The 18,532-nt window shown below is 43.9% G+C and overlaps 1 protein-coding gene and 1 long non-coding RNA gene across 7 annotated transcripts in view, besides 6 other annotated features; one reads left to right on the forward strand and one right to left on the reverse strand.

Moving 5' to 3' along the window:
• The window catches only part of AMN1 (antagonist of mitotic exit network 1 homolog), a 58,038-nt gene extending 57,765 nt beyond the window's left edge, over nt 1-273 (reverse strand). For 3 of the 6 annotated variants that reach the window (NR_103522.2, NM_001113402.2, NM_001278412.2), the window contains exon 1: nt 70-120. Coding sequence is in view for 1 of the 6 variants with exons in the window: in NM_001113402.2 (NP_001106873.1) it covers nt 70-107 (38 nt within the window). In the remaining 5 variants the exon portion in view is untranslated. Of the gene's footprint in view, nt 1-69 lie in introns of all 6 variants that reach the window. The other 3 variants (NR_103523.1, XM_017018965.3, NM_001278411.2) reach the window with 2 other exon arrangements.
• Nucleotides 39-388: an enhancer, noted in NCBI's record as "active region_6174". NCBI's record gives its function as "activates an Ori minimal core promoter by ATAC-STARR-seq in GM12878 lymphoblastoid cells {active_cell/tissue: GM12878}" and the evidence as "EXISTENCE:reporter gene assay evidence [ECO:0000049][PMID:35858748]".
• On the forward strand, nt 364-2,303 carry AMN1-AS1 (AMN1 antisense RNA 1). Its single transcript, NR_198987.1, has one exon. It is a non-coding gene; the product is annotated as an AMN1 antisense RNA 1 (long non-coding RNA).
• Nucleotides 401-1,033: an enhancer, noted in NCBI's record as "H3K27ac hESC enhancer chr12:31882236-31882868 (GRCh37/hg19 assembly coordinates)". NCBI's record gives its function as "activates a minimal SCP1, AML or CMV promoter by ChIP-STARR-seq in naive and primed H9 embryonic stem cells {active_cell/tissue: H9 hESC(naive and primed)}" and the evidence as "EXISTENCE:reporter gene assay evidence [ECO:0000049][PMID:30033119]".
• Nucleotides 429-628: an enhancer, noted in NCBI's record as "active region_6175". NCBI's record gives its function as "activates an Ori minimal core promoter by ATAC-STARR-seq in GM12878 lymphoblastoid cells {active_cell/tissue: GM12878}" and the evidence as "EXISTENCE:reporter gene assay evidence [ECO:0000049][PMID:35858748]".
• Nucleotides 4,058-4,285: a transcriptional cis regulatory region, noted in NCBI's record as "candidate enhancer chr12.953 targeted for multiplex CRISPR interference". NCBI's record gives its function as "positively regulates DENND5B gene expression with high confidence in K562 cells {active_cell/tissue: K562}" and the evidence as "EXISTENCE:mutant phenotype evidence [ECO:0000015][PMID:30612741]".
• Nucleotides 4,319-5,518: an enhancer, noted in NCBI's record as "MED14-independent group 3 enhancer chr12:31886154-31887353 (GRCh37/hg19 assembly coordinates)". NCBI's record gives its function as "activates an origin of replication core promoter dependent on BRD2, BRD4, P300/CBP and CDK7 cofactors, and independent of MED14, by STARR-seq in HCT116 cells {active_cell/tissue: HCT116}" and the evidence as "EXISTENCE:reporter gene assay evidence [ECO:0000049][PMID:35650434]".
• Nucleotides 14,186-14,275: a silencer, noted in NCBI's record as "silent region_4330". NCBI's record gives its function as "represses an Ori minimal core promoter by ATAC-STARR-seq in GM12878 lymphoblastoid cells {active_cell/tissue: GM12878}" and the evidence as "EXISTENCE:reporter gene assay evidence [ECO:0000049][PMID:35858748]".

Consider the following 18,532-nt stretch of genomic DNA (forward strand, 5'->3'; position numbering starts at 1 on the left):
GCGCAGGGCCTGGCCGTTTGGAGGAGGTGCTGGGGCGGCGCGAAGGGAGGCGGGACAGGGTAGACTCACAGATCCAGGAGCTGACTGACCCGCCGTGGGCGAGGCATCGCTGCAGCGTCTGAAGCCTCTTCCGCGGTCCCAGGGCCTCCAGAACCCAGCCAGGGACCGTCCGCCAACTCCCGCCCACCGCGCGACGCGTAGGTTTTTGTGACGTCACACGGATTTTTCCGGTGACCGGGGCGTGGCCACGCTTCGGACTCCACAAGGAAAGAAGAGAGCCCCCTTTGGGGCGGAGCCACTGAGGGCTGCGCGGAAGAGGCTGGGTGTGATAAACTATAAAGAGGCCCTAAACTCGGATGCAACGTGACGGGAGTTGTAGTTCTTTCACCTGGCGGGCGTCTGCTCCGGTTCAGCTGCAGGAGGTTTCTTGGGAGTTCAGCCCAGCGCGCAGCCCCGCCGCGACGCCGCGAGCCGAGAACTCTCCTGGGGCGAAGGGAGCGCTGAGAAGTCGCTACTCTTACTAAAAGGATGCGTTGGATGCTGGGCCATACCCTTGGCGATGCACACTGGAGACCCGCTCGGATACGGACTCCATTAACATCAAACGGAGCGTGTTAGAGGATCCGAGTTTACTGAGCACTTTCTAGGAAGCGTGCACTGAGCTACGTGCTTTCTAGGCCTTAGTTCAATACTTAACCATATTCATTATAATCCGGTGAAATCGTAATTATTTAGCCTTATTTTACAGATGAGGACACTGCGTACCAACAAGTAACCTCACTAAGAATTTCGTCATGGAGGAGAAGGGAACCTGTATTCAAATTAGGAAGGATCCTGAAGAAAGGGCACCTTTAGGTGGAATTTTATCTTTGGTTCTGCTGCAGAGTACTTGCTGCTTTTTAGTGCTCCCTCCACCCCCCTCATTCTTCCTTGTAGATTAGTCTGTTGTTTGTATGCTGAGTTCCTTTTTTAAGCTCCTTGAAAGTTGGAACCCACTGCTGTTGCCTGTTCAGGATGCTACACATTGAATCAACATGGATTTATTAAGCGCTGAACGAGGGCTAGGGATCGTGCTGGGTGCTGAGGATTGAGTGGCGAACACTTGGGTCAGACAAGTAAAAGGGCAATTAGAATAACTGTTAAATGCTTAGATGGGGTTAGTTCTATGGAAGCACCCATGGGGGTGGGATACAGATCAGAGAGAAAAGGGTGGTCTGCAAATAGTTTGGGATGGCTACACTGGAGAGTGATCAAGAGTGAGTGTAGGGCAGGGGTTGGCCGACTTTTTCCATAAAGTGCTCTGAAAGTTGCAGATTCCAGGAGAAGTAACTATTGTCAGACCCAGACAAATTGGAGCCTAGAGACCAGAAAGGAAGGAAACTCATGCTTGTATGTCTGAGATAAGAACTGTCTCAAGGCCAGACGCGGTGGCTCACACCTGTAATCCTAGTACTTTGGGAGGCCGAGGCGGGCGGATCACGAGGTCAGGAGTTTGAGACCAGCCTGGCCAACGTGGTGAAATTCCCGTCTCTACTAAAAATACAAAAAAAAAAAAAAAAAACTGGGTGTGGTGGCGGGCGCCTGTAATCCCAGCTACTGAGGAGGCTGAGGCAGGAGAATCGCTTGAACTCGGAGGAGGTTATAGTGAGCCGAGATCGTGCCACTGCACTCCAGCCTGGGCGACAGAGCAAGACTCCGTCTCAAAAAAAAAAAAAAAGAAAGAACGAACTGCCTCAAGGACTTTAAAAAATAAACCAAAAAACCCACAATTTCTTCACATCTTTCATGCATTTAATGTTTTGCACAACTTGCTTGTTTTGCAAATATGCGCACATTTCTATGACAAGATTTATTGCTAAATATTCTTTAAAACTGCAGCAGTTCAGATAAGATACTGTCGAAAGGACGTTTGGCCCAGCAGCAGGACCTCCACCAATGAACGGACTCCAATTCTTGATTTGAGCCTTGGGAACCAATCAACTTAGTTTCCAAGAGTTTATGTGAACTTCCCTCCTTTACCAGTAAAATCTTCCCCCTATTCTTCCCTTCTCCAGACCCGTGGCTTGCCATAGCTGTACATCTTGGATTATAATTCTTTTTGTTCACTCCCAAAGAAACTCAGTATCTTTGGAGAATTCTTTCTTTGTTGTCTTTTAGCTTCCCAGAGCCAAACAAGAAATATTTTAGGTTTTGTGGGTCATGCTGGCTTGGTCACAGCTATTCAACTTGTATCTTAAAATTAGCCATAGACAGTATGAATGGGTGGGTCTCTGTTCCAATAAAACCTTATCCTAAACACTGAAGTTTGAATTTTATGTAATTTTCAACTGTCATGAAATACTCATCTTTTGATCTTTTTCAGCCACTGAAAAATGTAAAAGCCATCCTTAAGTTGCAAGCTATACAAAAACAGACAGTGGACTGGATTTGACCCTTGAGCCATTTGTCCATGTGCCCTCACCTGATCTAGAAAGCTAAAATGCACATGCCTCACGCCTGTAATCCCAGCACTTTGGGAGGCCAAGGTGGGCGGATCAGCTGAGGTTAGGAGTTCGAGACCAGCCTGGGCAATATGGAGAAACTCTACTAAAAGTACAAAAAAATTAGCTGGGCGTGGTGGCAGGTGCCTGTAATCCCAGCTACTCAGGAGGCTGAGGCAGGAGAATTGCTTGAACCCAGGAGGCGGAGGTTGCACTGAGCCGAGATCACACCACTGTACTCCAGCCTGGGCAACAAGAGTGAGACTCTACCTCAAAAAAAACAAAGAAATTACGAATTTTAAGATGGTGATAGCAGAGCACTAAACCCAGAGTGGGGCCCGTGTGACTGCACATTTTGCCCACCCATGAAGCCAGCCCTGGGTGCGTCCAACTTCAGGATTCCCCCCCCCAAAAATCAGTTCAGGAACCCTATGTCAAAATAAAAATCAAAGACAAATATGAGCACAGAGAGACATTTTTACTTGCAGTTCAAGAAAATCAGACTTTCAGAGAGTGGCTCGCTAAATAGAATAGAGGAATTTATAGCTCAGATGAAATGGCAGATATTTATAGCTCAGATATGGCAGTTCATTCCAATTGGATAAGAACAAGATGTTCCTGTTTTGTGGTAAGGAAAACAGGATGTTCTTGTTTTTGTGGCTTATCTCTGGAGGCAAAGCTTTTAGGATTTCCCGTTAGTCAAGGCTTTTAGGAGGTTCCCGCTATTCATGGTTTATCTTTGAATGCAAAGTTATTGGGAATGAAAGTCTTTTCTAGTGTATGGTAAGTGATTTGTAGGCAGGGTTAGGCTAAGGGCAAGATATTTTCCTTTTCTCCTCTCTGTTTGCTGTGCCCACTTTAATATAGTTTCCTCTAGCTCAGAATCTCCTCCACTTCCTACCATAGCTACCATACAAAGTAAACGTTATCATAGATTGTTGCTGTGGGTTTGTTTTACTTTACTCCAGGCTGGAGTGCAGTGGCGCAATCTCGGCTCACTGCAACCTCTGCCTCTCGGATTCAAGCAATTCTCCCGCCTCAGCCTCCCAAGTAGCTGGGATTACAGGCATGTGCCACCATGCCAGGCTAATTTTTTTTTTTTTGTATTTTTAGTAGAGACGAGGTTTCACCATATTGGCTAGGCTGGTGTCGAACTCCTGACCTTGTGATCCACCTACCTCGACCTCCCAAAGTGCTGGGATTACAGGCGTGAGCCACCGTACCCGGCCTCTGGGTTTGTTTTATAAAAATAATTAACAAAATTACTTTTCTTAAATCATGCTGTTAATTCATAATGTAATATATGAGCTGTATGTGGACCCATGTTTTAAAATACAATAAATATATATAAAACAAGTATATCTTATTTATATGAATGTGTGCTTTCACAAGAACAGAACGGAGCTAAGCCAAGTGAGCCCCTACTTTATTATCCTACCATGTGTAGGTTATTTTCAAATAGGATTGCTCTTAACTCTCCAAGTGTCCTTTGAGAAAATAACACGTCTTTTTATTTAGTTTCTTTTCATAGCTTGTTTTATAATATCACACTCCAAATTGGAAATAACAGTGCCCATGCTCATGGATTGTTATACATTGTTGAAATTTCCCATTGGCTAGAAACACTTGCTTTGTTTCTAGGTTAGAGATCTGTGACTTTCAAATTCTCAGGAGTCTGAGTCATACAATGGATGACTCAGGATCCAAGCAGGTTAAGAGTTGGGCAAGTTCAAACAGGAGAAGCAAGGAGATGTTAATAAAGGAGCTGTTCCCAAAGGTGTGGACAGAGTTAGGGCAGAGCAAGGGTAAAGGTAGTTCAATACCATAGCGCTACAATAGCAGGAAGACCTTACCTCTTCTGGTCCTGGAGGGCAAAACCAAAACCTTGCCAGAGTGACCACAGGTGAAGCCACCTGAAAGGAACTGTGGCCTTTGAATTTGTAACCGCCTAAGGGGTTCACCTTGCCCCCTGCCTAGAAAGAACTGATTCATCAAGACGGGGGAATTACAATAGAGAAAGAGTAATTCACACAGAGCCAGCTGTGCGGGAGACAGTTTTATTATTACTCAAATCAGTCTCCCCAAGCATTTGGGGAGCAGAGTTTTTTTTTGTTTGTGTTTTTTTTTCAGAGTCTTGCTCTGTCACCCAGGCTGGAGTGCAGTGGCGCTGTCTTGGCTCACTGCAACCTCTGCCTCCTGGGTTCAAGTGATTCTCCTGCCTCAGCCTACCAAGTAGCTGAGATTACAGGCATGTGCCACCACGCCCGGCTAATTTTGTATTTTTAATAGAGACGGGGTTTCACTATGTTGGTCAGGCTGGTCTCGAACTCCTGACCTCGGGTGATCCACCCACCTCAACCTCCAAAAGTGCTGGGATTACAGGTGCGAGTCACCACGCCCAGCCAGGAGCAGAATCTTTAAGGATAAATTGGTGGGTTGGGGGAAGCCAGTGACCCGGGAGTGCTGATTGGTCAGGACGGAAATGAAATCATAGGGAGTTGAAGCTGTCTTCTTGTGCTGAGTCACTTCCTGGGTGGGAGCCACAAGATCAGATTAGCCAGTTTATCCATCTGGGTGGTGCCAGCTGATCCGGCAATTGCAGGGTCTGGAAAATATCTCAAGCACTGAGATATTTGAAGAAAATCTTGAAGCCTCTAGTTGCATGACTCTTAAACCATAATTTCTAATCTTGTAGCTAATGTTAGTCCTACAAAGGGAATCTAGTCCCCAGGCAAGAAGGAGGTGTGCTTTGGGAAAGGGCTGTTATCATCTTTGTTTTAAACTATAAGTTTCTCTCAAAGTTAGTTCAGCCTATGCTGAACGAACAAGGAGGTTAGAAGCAAGATGGAGTCGGTTAAGTTAAAACTCTTTCACCGTCTCAGTGATAATTTTGCAAAGGCGGTTTCAGTTTGATAAGGCAACCTAGCCAGCCTGTTGTGATCCAGCCAGGAAGGGGCTACAGGAATACCCTTCAAGCTCCATTCTTCATCCCCTTTTTGATGTCCTGCTGTCGGCTGTCATTGCTTCAGCCAACCAGAAGTTAGAGCTCAAAGCATCCCCGTTTATGCGATCAATAAAAGTCAGCTTCTCAGAGCCTAGAGTAGAGAAGGAGAGAAATTAGAAAATAAGTAACTCATCAACAGATTACTGATTTTTTTGGTAAAGGGATTAAATATCAAAAACATTTTGAAAATTAATAAGAATAGCTTCATCTGAGCCAAAATAATAATTATTATAGTTTCCTTTTTTTCTTTTTTTTTTGAGACAGTCTCACACTCTCGCCCAGGCTAGAGTGCAGTGGTGTGATCTTGGCTCACTGCAATCTCCGCCTCCTGGGTTCATGTGATTCTCCTGCCTCAGCCTCCCAAGTAGCTGGGATTATAGGAGCCCACCACCAAGCCCAGCTAATTTTTTTTGTATTTTTGGTAGAGATGGGGTTTCACCATGTTGGCCAGGCTGGTCTTCAACTCCTGACCTCAGGTGATCCTCCCGCCTCAGCCTCCCAAAGTGCTGGGATTACAGGCGCGAGCCACTGTGCCCAGCCTATTATAGTTTCATAACAGTGAGAGGGATGACAATTGTGGTCTTTCACTAAGATGCTGGGAGCCAGCGCAATGACAGCTTAAACCACCATCTTTTTTTGATTAGCTTCACTTGTTATTTTTATTTTTAGAAAGTTATGTAATTCCTAACTCACAATTACTGGTTATTGCAATGGAATCAAATGCCTGGTATTTCTGTCAGATAATCAGACTTTCAAACCCCATTACTTACATTCATTCAAACAAATATTTAATACCTGTTATATACCAGGTGGGATGTATCAGTACATGAATATGTCCTCTAGGAGCTTACACTCTAGTGTGAGAGATAGAAAAGCACACAAACAAAACAGCATATGGAGATACGAACTATAAAGAACAAGATGGGGAGGACGGATTGAGAGAAAGAGAGAGATTTATTTTTGCTCAGGTGGTCATGGAAGGCTTCTCTGACGCTGTGACACTTCTGCTGAGATCTGAGGATTAAAAAGGAGGCAGCTATGCAGAGATTTAGAGACAGAGGGAAAAGAAAGGCACTGAAGTAAAAATGTGCTTGATAGCATTTGAAGGACAGAAGGAGGTCAGTGTGGCTGAATGGAGCAGGGAGTAGGAGGAAATGGGATTGGCTGAGCCTGGGCCCAAATCAGGTAAAACCTTGACGATCAAAAAACTGTCTTTGGGCCAGGCCTGGTGTCTCACGCCTGTAATCCCAGCACGTTGGGAGGCTGAGGCAGGTGGATCACTTGAGGTCAGGAGTTTGAGACCAGCCTGGCCAACATGGCGAAACCCCATCTCTACTAAAAATACAAAATGTAGCCTGGCATGTGGTGGCAGGTGCCTGTAATCCCAGCCACTCGGAAGGCTGAGACACAAGAATCTCTTCAACCTCAGAGGCAGAGGTTGTAGTAAGCCAAGATGGCACCACTGCACTCCAGCCTGAGTGACAGAGCCAGACTCTGTCTCAAAAAAAAAAAAAAAAAAAAAAAACAGCTGGGTGCAGTGACTGATGCCTGTAATCCCAGCACTTTGGGAGGCTGAGGTAGGCAGATCACTTGAGGTCAGGAGTTCGAGACCAGCCTGACCAACATGGTGAAACCCTGTCTCTACTAAAAATACAAAAATTAGCCGGGTGTGGTGGCGTGCACATGAAGTCCCAGCTACTTGGGAGGCTGAGGCAGGGGAATTGCTTGAACCCGGGAGGTGGAGGTTACAGTGAGCCAAGATTGTGCCACTGCACTCCAGCCTGGGTGACAGAGTGAGACTCCGTCTCAAAAAAAAAGAAGCCAGGCGCGGTGGCTCACACCTGTAATCCCAGCACTTTGGGAGGCCGAGGTGGGCGGATCATGAGGTCAGGAGATGGAGACCATCCTGGCTAACAGAGTGAAACCCCATCTCTACTAAAAATACAAAAAATTAGCCAGGTTTGGTGGCGGGCACCTGTAGTCCCAGCTACTTGGGAGGCTGAGGCAGGAGAATGGCATGAACCTGGGAGGCAGAGGTTGCAGTGAGCCGAGATCGTGCCACTGCACTCCAGCCCAGGCAACAGAGCCAGACTCCATCTTAAAAAAAAAAAAAAAAAAAAAAAGACAAAAAAAACCCCCAAACAAACTGTCTGATTCAGGCATGGTGGCTCATGCTTGTAGTCATAGCTGAGGTGGGAGGATCCCTGGAGCCCAGGAGTTTGAGGTTGCTGTGAGTTATGATCATGCCACTGCACTGTAGCCTAGACAACAGAGTGAGTGAGGCCCTCTTTTTCTTTTTTTCTTCCTGAAGTCTTTGACAGAGCAGAGAAAGACCTTATCTCTAAAAAAACATAGCAACAAAAAAACCCAAACTAACTTTGATGCATCAGGGCTGTGAAGAAGCAACACACACACACAGACACACACACTCACTTGCACACCTGACTTTGAATCTTATTCAAAATGAAATGACAGTATTGAAGTTTTAAAGAAGGGGAATGATACCCGTGCAACACAGGTGAGCCCCAAAATTGGGGCTTAGCCTGGGGAAGTCCTTGGCTTTACCCAGGAAATAATTCAAGGGTGAGCTGATAGTAGAAAACAGGTTTGTTTGTTTGTTTGTTTGTTTTTGAGACATGGTCTCGCTCTGTCACACAGGCTGGAGTACAGTGGCATGATCTCAGCTCACTGCAGCCTCCACCTCCTGGGTTCAAGAAATTCTCGTGCCTCAGCCTCCCAATAAGCTGGGATTATAGGTGCTCCCCACCACGCCTGGATATTTTTTGTATTTTTAGTAGAGATGGGGTTTCACCATGTTGTCCAGGCCAGTCTCGAACTCCTGACCTCAGCTGATTCTCCCACCTTGGCCTCCCAAAATGCTGGGATTACGGTGTGAGCCACCATGCCCAGCCAGAAAACAGCTTTTCTGATGTGGCAGTGTGACAGCTCCATGACTGCTCCTGCAGAGCGGAGCTACCCCATAGGCAGTGTATTGAGAGGAGCAGCTCAGAGGCAGTTCTCTAATCATGTTTATACCCACTTCTAATTACATGCAAATCAAGGGGCAGGTAATTCAGAAATTTCTAGAAAAGGGGTGGTAATTTCCAGGTCATTGCCAGAGAGAGTGGTGCTAACTTCTAGGTGTTGCCACAGCAATGGTAAACTGTCGCGTCACTGGTAGGAGTGTCTTATGAAGAAGTGCTTTCCATGCTTCTCTGTTTCAGCCAGTCTTCAATCTGGTCTGGAGTTGAGTCCCACCTCCTACCTCAATACCATTTGGGCGGCAGTGTGAAGAATGGAGGGGGCTTTGGGGAGTGAATTGCAGCATGTTTTGAATAGGTTAGAGCCTGGTGGTGGCTTCCCCGAAGGCTATGCCTCTCCTTAATCCCCTCTAGAATCTTTAGCTTCCTCACAAGGTGGGAAGCCCTTCAGGGACCGAGAAGGAGGTGATGGTGGTGGCAAGCAGCATTGCATCTGCAGGACCTTTGGGCCTGGATCTGTTGCCTTCAATCTTGCATTGCTGTGATGACAGTGATAACACTTGATATCTTAGTATCACAGGCTCTTGAATCTCAGAACCACGGAGGCTGTGTCACTAAGAGCTTGGTCTCTGACTACAGCTTCTGAATCCTTATTTTGGCCTAAAATGAATCACTTGACTCCTTAGTAATTCTATTTTTTCACCTGTAATATGGGGATAGTAATATAAAGCCTATTCAAAGTGCATGAGGACAGGCAATTCTCAGAATTCAAAATTTTCAAGATTTTAGAAAGCTATTATGGTACATATGACTGGATATTATGAGACACCCCATTTTGAGTTGGGTTTTCAGCCACATGTATTCTTCCTAAAAATCTGTTACATCACCCTCTTTTACCTTTCTCTTAGCAGTTAACACTCTGTAATATCTTAATTTGTTTGTTTGTTGCTTGTCTCCATCAATTAGAATGTAAGTTCCTTGAAATCAGGGACTTTTCTTTTGTTTGCCACTGTGCCTGAAACACTTTAAACAGTACATGATACCTAGTGAATAACCAATAATTACTAATTGAAAATGAATGAATGAACAAAGCTTTGATTTGTCTCTTTCCAATCTCTACCTCCTTGCCTCTAATCCTTCAATGAGTTTCTGGGCTCAGTCTTCAAAATGTACTCAAATTTGACCACTGCTGAACATCTGTGGGGCTGTCAACTGAGTGCACGCCCAGGCTGAAAGTGTTGTCTGACTCTCCTGTTCACCTGGTAAACTCCTCACTCCTCTTCCCATTTGTTCATTGATTCCACATTTATCGAGGTACACGCAGGGTGCTAGGCGTGAACTCACAGTCTGGTGGGGGAGGTAGGAGAGGAACACTGATAGAGATCATTACTGCATAAGAAATGGGGAAGCAGTGGCTCACGCCTGTAATCCCAGCACTTTGGGAGACCAAGGGGGGTGAATCATTTGAGCTCAGAAGTTCCAGACCAGCCTGGCCAACATGGAGAAACCCCATCTCTACTAAAAATACAAAAATTAGCTGGGTGTGGTGGTATGCGCCTGTAATCCCAGCTACTTGGGAGGCTGAGGCAGGAGAATTGCTGGAACCCTGGAGGTGGAGGTTGCAGTGAGCCGAGATCGTGCCATTGCACTCTAGCCTGGACGATAGAACGAGACTCTGTCTCAAAAATAAATAAATAAATAAGGAAAAAAAAGAAATGGGGAATGCAGAGGTGGGTGTGGTGGTCTGGGCAGGTGAAGACCTGCAGCCCTCACTCCAATTGCACAGAAGACTAGGCCAGAGACAAGGAGTCACTCCTCTCTGCTCTGTGCTGGGGTGGAGATGGGGGTTGGGATTAGGGTGGTGGGGGGTTCTTTTGTGTATATGAGGAGAAGCCAGGCAAACCCTTGCATCTGTTCTTCCCCTCAAATGATATTTTAAAAAACAAACAAGCCCAGTCCAGAGTGAGTACACCTTGTCCTGCCTCTTTTCTCATGTGTTTAGGTGGGAGTGACCTTCTGGCCCCATTTGACAGTAGAGAACCTGAGATTAGGCAAGGAGAAGCCATTTCCCCAGGCTTGCCACAAACTAAGGCCGCAAACAGACTGTGTACCATTCGCTCAGGAGCAATTCGTATTGCAGCTCATGAGCACCCAGTCCAGAGCCACCTCCAGAACAGGAGCTCAACCCTCTTTTTGAGAGCTTCTCTGAGGGGCCCTCCTATTAAAAATGGGGAAACTGAGGCCCGGAGAAAGGAAGTGACTTGCAAGGAGTAACAGAGCAGTCAGAGAGACCTGCCCCAGGAGTTCTAATTCTAATCACCATAACAGCTATTATTTATTGAGCCCTTCCTGTGTGCTGAATCTTGTTCCAAGCCTTTACAAATAGTGTCTTGTTCCATCCCCCAGTGATTCTATGGCTATATACTAAAAGCCCACAGTCCTTTATCTGCAATTTGGAAGCCCAAAAAACTCTGAAGCCAAAAGGATTTTCCTGTATTTGCTGCCCAGACTCTTCTGTGTGAAGAGTGGATAAATGTGGAATCAATTAATGAATGGGAAGAGGAGTGAGGAGTTGAACAGGTGAACAGGAGAGTGAAGCTATTTAAATTATATATTTTTTTGGTTTGTTTGTTTAATTGTTTGTTTCTTTGTTGAGATGGAGTCTTGCTCTGTCACCCAGGCTGGAGTGCAGTGGCACGATCTCGGCTCACTGCAACCTTCGCCTCCCGGGTTCAAGTGATTCTCCTGCCTCAGCCTCCCGAGTAGCTGGGATTATAGGCGCCCACCATCATGCCCAGCTAATTTTTGTATTTTTAGTAGAGACGGGGTTTCACCATGTTGGCCAGGCTGGTCTCGAATTCCTGATCTCAGGTGATCCGCCCACCCCGGCCTCCCAAAGTGCTGGGATTACAGGCGTGAGCCACCACGCCCAGCCTATTTATATTTTTTAATAATAATTTTTATTGATAAATTTTAAAAATTAGGGGGAAAAGGTGTGAATAGCCATACCCTTATTAGCGTTTCATTGTTTTGTAACAATACACATTTACCAAGTAGCAGGAGTCTGAGCATGGCTTGACTGGGTCCTCTGCTTATGGTCTCAAAAGGCTACAATCGAGCTGTCATCAGGGACTGCAGTCTCACCTGGGTTCAGATGGGGAAGGACTCACTTCCAAGTTCACTCATGTTAATGGCAGAATTCAGTTCCTTGAGGTCGTAGGACTGAGAGCTTCAAGTTTTTTGTTGGCTGTTGGCTGGAGGCTGCCCTCAGCTCTGAGAGGCTGCCTGTATTTCTTGCCATGCAGAGTCCTCTAACATGGCCATCTGCGCCCTCAAAGCTAAACTGGGGGAGGGGGAGAAAGATGGGTGCTACCATCTTATGTAACATGACCCCAATCATGTACACACAATCACATACATCCCATCATCTTTACTGTTTCTTTCAGTTAGAAGCGAGCCACAGATCCTGCCCACACTAAGGGGAAAGGATCACATAAGGGGAGGCAAGGATCGTGGGGCCAACTAAGAGTCTTTCCACCACAAACCACAAAGCCTTCCACTGCAAATATTATTGTGTTTGGTTATGTCCTAGAAAAAAATAAGGTTTTAATCTCACATGAAAAGTCAGAATGCCAGACTGGGCAATATGGGAAAACCTCATCTCTTCCAAATATATATATATATATATCCAGCTGTGGTGGCACATGCCTGTAGTCCCAGCTACTTAGGACGCTGAGGTGAGTGGATCGCTTGAGCCTGGGGGGGGTCAAAGCTGCAATGAGCCAAGACTGTGCCACTGCACTCCAGTGGACAACAGAGTGAGACACTGTCTCAAAAAAAAAAAAAAAAAAAAAAAGAGAGAGAAAAGGAAGGAAGGAGAAGGAAGAGAGGAAGAGAGGAAGCGGGGGAGGGAGGGAGGTCAGAATAAGAGGAGGGAGGTCAGAATAGGATAGTTCCAGGGTTGGTTGTTCAGTGGCTTAATGACATTATAATTCCTGCTCAGAACCTCTGTGATTCCCTTGAGTTTTCCTCTCATGCTTTCAAGATGGCTCTGCAGGTCCAAGCAATACATCCTTGCACTGAGGATGCAAGTTAGGAAAATTCTAGTTCATTGCTTTACTTTGAGCCTCTTATTTGACTTATTCCATTTTACTTGTGAAATACGCATGTGACAGCTGGAATTGGCATTAGACATGTTAGACAGAAAGTAAAATTGAGTATATTTCTGATTCTCAAGCATTTGTTTTTGCCACTGTTTAAGAAATAAGCAATGCATTGTCACATACTAAGCACTCAGTTGTTTGTTGAATGAAATATAACACTGTAGGGTAGGGTAGGAGAACACTAAAGTTCCTGGAGGCAGGTAACATGTACTTGTATTTTTCTCACATCTCTCTTGTTAAGAACACAAAATCTTTGCCTAGAAGAACTCACAGCAGCATCCTCAGTACTATGGCACTTGCTATGATTAAACCAATCATTACCAAGGGAAATGAGATATGACTTAGATCAATCATAATTCATCCCTCAGGATGGGCATGAGTCTGAATACCCCTATAGCACATGGCCATCTGATACCTGAACAAAATCAGGATTCTGTTAAAAAAGAAGAGGAAGGGAGAAGGAATGACTATAAACAACAAGCACCATCCTCCACAGATTCAAGGAAGAATTAAAAGGGGTAGTAAGGTGGTCTCTCTAGAGAGGCAATGTTTTACTTGAGATTTGCCAAGAAATTGTCAGACTTGTGAAATCTGCGGACTAGCAATCCGTGGGGTGGGTAAGGAAGAGCAAATATACTGCTTAGAGGTACAGAGTTTCTTTTTGGGGTGATGAAAATGTTCTAAAATTGATTGTGGTGATAATTGTACAATTCTGTGAATATACTAAAAATATATACTTTAAATGGGTGAATTGTATGGTATATGAATCATACCTTAATAAAGCTGCTATTTAAAAAAAGAATAGTAATGTAATACCTTGAGACAAGACAAGCTTGATATGAATTATAAGAATGGTTTGACTGGGTCAGATTCAGTGAAAAATTTTCATAATAGACCTTTAATTATTGTTAATCTGCTAAAAAACAGTATGGAACTTAAGTACCGAGCTTCTAATGGAAGATAGAGAAATACCCTATATTTTCAGGTGGGATATTTCCTATCGGTGTTTTTTTCCCAGGAATGCAGTTTTCCTAGGCTTCAAGCTGCTCAGAATATGTGGCCTTCAATAGACCTGCAGCCAGGATTAGGTGGGACTTTGCCTCATCTGAAGGGCTTCTTCTTATTTTATTTATCGTAATTTTTTGTAGAGATAGGATCTTAATATATTGCCCAGGCTGGTCTTGAAATCCTGGACTCAAGTGATTCTCCTGCCTCAGCCTCCCAAAGTGTTGGGATTACAGGTGTGAGCCACCGCACCCGACTTACAGGGCTTCTTCTATACTTACTAATTCTCCTAATGTGTGACATCTGGTCTACTACTTAAATTGGTGCTTTTCCATTGGATATAAGCCTTAGCAATAGATATTACCTAATTTTCTCTTACCTTTTTATGGGTGGGGTTATTTTCATTATAATTTTTTTTTCCTGGGTTTGCACAACTGCCAGAAAACATTTTATCAGAGCTAGGTTATGAACATTGCAGGTGGGCCTTTCAACTTCCTGCAGAAGTGCAGAGGTGCAACTGAGCATTCACTAAGAACTGGCACTTGTCCAAACTGTGCAAAAGAGGGAGTGCAAGTCTGTCTCACACACGTAATTGAGGAAGGAAAAGAAGGCCAGTGTTGCTGAAGCTTAGGGAAGGAGATAAAGACAGAGAGGTAGGCAGGGACTAGATCACATAGTGCCTTGAGAATCATAGAGATTTGGTTACAGCTAAGTGCAATTGGGAGAATGTTGGAGGGTTGCTCTGAACAAGGACATGACAGGATCTGATATGCATTTTTAATAGATTAATTTTGGGGAAAATATATGTAACACAAGTAACTGAAGAGGATGTGTATCTAGATTTTAAAAGGTACTGCAAATCAATATGATGAAAACACACACACACACACAATTGGAAAATCAGCAAAATACTTAAGCAGGCACTTCCCCACAGAGGAAATCTAAATGGTCAAAAGCATATGAAAAATGTTCTGTCTTGTTAATCAACCAGGGAAATACATGTTCGAACTTCCACATGTTGGCCGGGCGCAGTGGCTCACGCCTGTAATCCCAGCACTTTGAGAGGCGGAGGTGGGCGGATCATGAGGTCAAGAGATTGAGACAATCTTGGCCAACATGGTGAAACCCCGCTTCTACTACAAATACAAAAATTAGCCGGGCGTGGTGGCACGCACCTGTAGTCCCAGCTACTTGGGAGGCTGAGGCAAGAAAATTGCTTTAACTTGGGAGGTGGAGGTTGCAGTGTGCCGAGATCGCGCCACTGCACTCCAGCCTGGTGACCTAGCAAGACTCTGCCTCAAAAAAACAAAACAAAAAACGAACTTCCACATGTTAAAACTTGTACAAGGCCGGGCATGGTGGCTCATGCCAGTAATCCCAGCACTTTGGAAGGCCGAGGCTGGCAGATTACGAGGTCAGGAGATTGAGACCATCCTGGCCAACATGGTGAAACTCCATCTCTACTAAAATACAAAATATTAGCTGGGTGTGGTGGCACATGCCTGTAGTCCCAGCTACTCAGGAGGCTGAGGCAGGAGAATCGCCTGAACCCAGGAGGCGGAGGTTGCAGTGGGCCAAGATTGCGCCACTGTACTCCAGCCTGGCAACAGAGCAAGGCTCTGTCTAAAAAAAAAAACAACAACAACAAAACAAGCAACAACAACAAAAAAACTTGTACAAAAGCCAGAGGCAGTAACAGGAGCCTGTAGTCCCAACTACTTTAGAGGCTGAGGCAGGAGGATCACTTAAGCCCAGGAGTTTGAGGTTGTTATATATAAAGGTTCGGTGCCGCAAAAGAAATAGCACTCGAATATAAAATTTTCTTTTTAATTCTCAGCAAGGCAAGGTACTTCAATAGAAGGGTGTGCCCTTACAGATGGAGCAATGGTGAGCGCACACTTGGATAAGGGAGGGGAAGGGGTTCTTATCCCTGACACACGTGGCCCCTGCTGCTGTGTGGTTCCCCTATTGGCTAGGGTTAGACCTCACAGGCTAAACTAATTCCAATTGGCTAATTTAAAGAGAATGACAGGGTGTGTGCTTTGGCAGGAGTCAGGGCAGGGCAGGTAGCAGGTAATCAGAATGAGTTAGGGTGGAGTAGGTGACCAGAATGAGTCAGAGTGGAGTAGGTAATCGAAAAAGGTAGCTTTACGAGGAAGTTAAGTTTAAAAGTAGAAGGCAAATAATTGAACATACTGACATTAATTCTTTGAAAAGAAATTTAGAACTCATATCTAACAAGGCTATGGTGCAGTATGATTATGCCTGTGAATAGCCACTGCACTGCAGCTTGGGGAACATAGCAAGACTCCGTCTCCAAAAAACTCCCCCCAAAAAACTGTACAAGCCACTAGGATGGTAAAAGTAGGAAAAACAATCTGACACTCTCAAGGAACTTTGACAATACCAATGGAAACTCACCCTTTGGTAGAGCATTAAACAGGTTGTAACCATTTTGGAAAAGAAAGGCTGTGCATCTTCAAGTTTATTAGACAGTCTGATATCTACATTCTCCTAGTTATATATCTTAGAGAAACTCTTGCATGTAAGTGCCAGAAAGCATGTATCAAAGTGTTTATTGTAGCACTAATAATAACTGAAAACACCCAAAAGTCCATTAAAGAGTATAATAAATTATGATATTAATTACAATATATGAAATTCTATACAGAGCTACAGCTATATGCATAAGGACAGATGAAGCTCACAAACATTATATTGAGCCAAAAAGCAGCAAGTCACAGAAAAAAAAAATAGTGAGATTCCATTTATATAACTTGAAGATGGGTAAAACCTAAACTATATTGTTTAGGTTGTAATATTGGTGATATTGCTTATGGATATAAGTGTGAGATAAAACTAAAGCAAGAGAATGATCATCACGCACACACACACATACACACACACACACACACACAAATACATGCACACAAAGAACTGCATTTATCTTTGCAGAAAGGGAGGAAATGTGAGCAAGAAGAGGTCTTATGATGTCCTGAAAGTGTTCCGTTTCTATGAAGCATGAAAATTTTTAATTTTGTTGAAGTCCAACCTATCTATTTTTTTTCTTTGATTGCTTGTGCTTTGGAGGTCATATTTAAGAAATTCTTGCTAAATTCATGGACACAAAGATTTACACCTATGATTTCTTTGAAGAGTTTTATAATTTCAGCTCTTACATTTAGATCTTTGGTATATTTTGAGTTAATTTTTGTATATGACATGAGGTAGGGGGTCCAATATTATTCTTTTGCATATTGTGTTCCAGTTCTAAACCTGTGTGTTTGGATACATGGATATTTACTTTATAATATATTTTATATACTCTTATGTATGTATATTTTATAGATTGAAAAGTATAAGAGACAATGGCTTTGGGTACTGTTTGGAGTATCCTGTCTGTGGAGAATAAGTTGTGAAACAGAGAAAATCAGAAAGACCAATTGGGATGTTTCAAAGGTTTCTGGCTAAAGTAACAGTATGGATGGTGGTGCCATTAACTAAGACAGCAATGAATGCAAAAAGAGCAAGTTTTGTGGGGAGACACAAAATTATCTTTAGGATATGTTAAATTTGAGAAGCATTTTAAACATCCAAGTGGAGAAGTCAAAATGTAATTGGAGCCTGGTGTGGTGGAACATGGATGTAGTCCCAGTTACTAAGGCTGAGGTAGGAGGATTGCTTGAGCTCAGGAGTTTGAGACCAGCCTGGGCAAAATAGTGAGACCCCCATCTCCACAAAAATTTAAAAATTAGCCAGCTATGGGTGGCATGCACCTGTAGTCACAGCTATTCTTAGGAGGCTGAGGCAGGAGGATCACTCAAGTCCAGGAGTTCAAGGCTGCAGTGTGCTACAATCACACCTGTGAATAGCCACTGCACTCCAACCTGGACAACGTAGTGAGACCTCATCTATAATAATAATAATAATAAAGCAGCAAATGATATATGAATTCAGAGTTCAGGGAAGAAAACAGGGCTCTAGGTATTCATTTGGGAATCCGTAACATGCTTGTCATAAAGCTATGGGACTGACTGAGATTAAATAGGGAAAGAATGTACACAAAAAACAGAAGAGCATCAAGGACCCAGCTCTAGAGAGTCCTAATATTTAGAAGATGAGGAGAAAAAAGAGGCAGGTACTAGCAAGGAGATTGAGAAGAAGCAGCCAGTGATAAAGAGGGGAAACAGTGTGGCTTCAGGAAAACTTCAAGAAGAAAGTGTTTCAAAAAGAAAATAATGGTCAGCTACTACTGAGAAATTAACTGTGATTTGGATAGAGAACAAATCATTAGATTTGGCAAGATAAAGATGGTTGGCAAGCTTGATAGGGGATGTTTTGTGGCAGATGGCAAGTGTCGGTGGCTTTATCCAATTCTGAACAGGATATTTGCTAGCATGCACACAAGACCGTAATTCCTCTTTCATAATGAATGCTACTAATGTTACACAATGTCAGATGAGTCACTTGACAATGTAATTTTCCAGTAGCAGTGTGTTTTGCTTTCTCTCTGAGCATATTTTGAATAATTTCACATTAGGTTTTTACAAACCTTTTGACAGCAGTAAGAACTGTCTGTTTTAGGATATAAGAAGTGCAAATCTGAATGGATATCTAGTTTTGGCCTCTTTCTGACTTTAGCAAAAGAATTATTTAATTTTTTACTATGCTGTTTTGTTTTAGAAATGAAAAATTTAATTGGTTTACCAGTGCTCAGTGTTTTGTTAGAAATCAAAATGAAGGTCGGGCGCGGTGGCTCACGCCTGTAATCCCAGCACTTTGAGAGAACGAGGTGGGTGGATCACAAGGTCAGGAGATCGAGACCATCCTGGCTAACATGGTGAAACCCTGTCTCTACTAAAAATACAAAAAATTAGCCGGGCCTGGCAGCGGGCGCCT

The sequence above is a fragment of the Homo sapiens genome, chromosome 12, assembly GCF_000001405.40.
Source record: "Homo sapiens chromosome 12, GRCh38.p14 Primary Assembly".
NCBI lineage: Eukaryota > Metazoa > Chordata > Mammalia > Primates > Hominidae > Homo > Homo sapiens.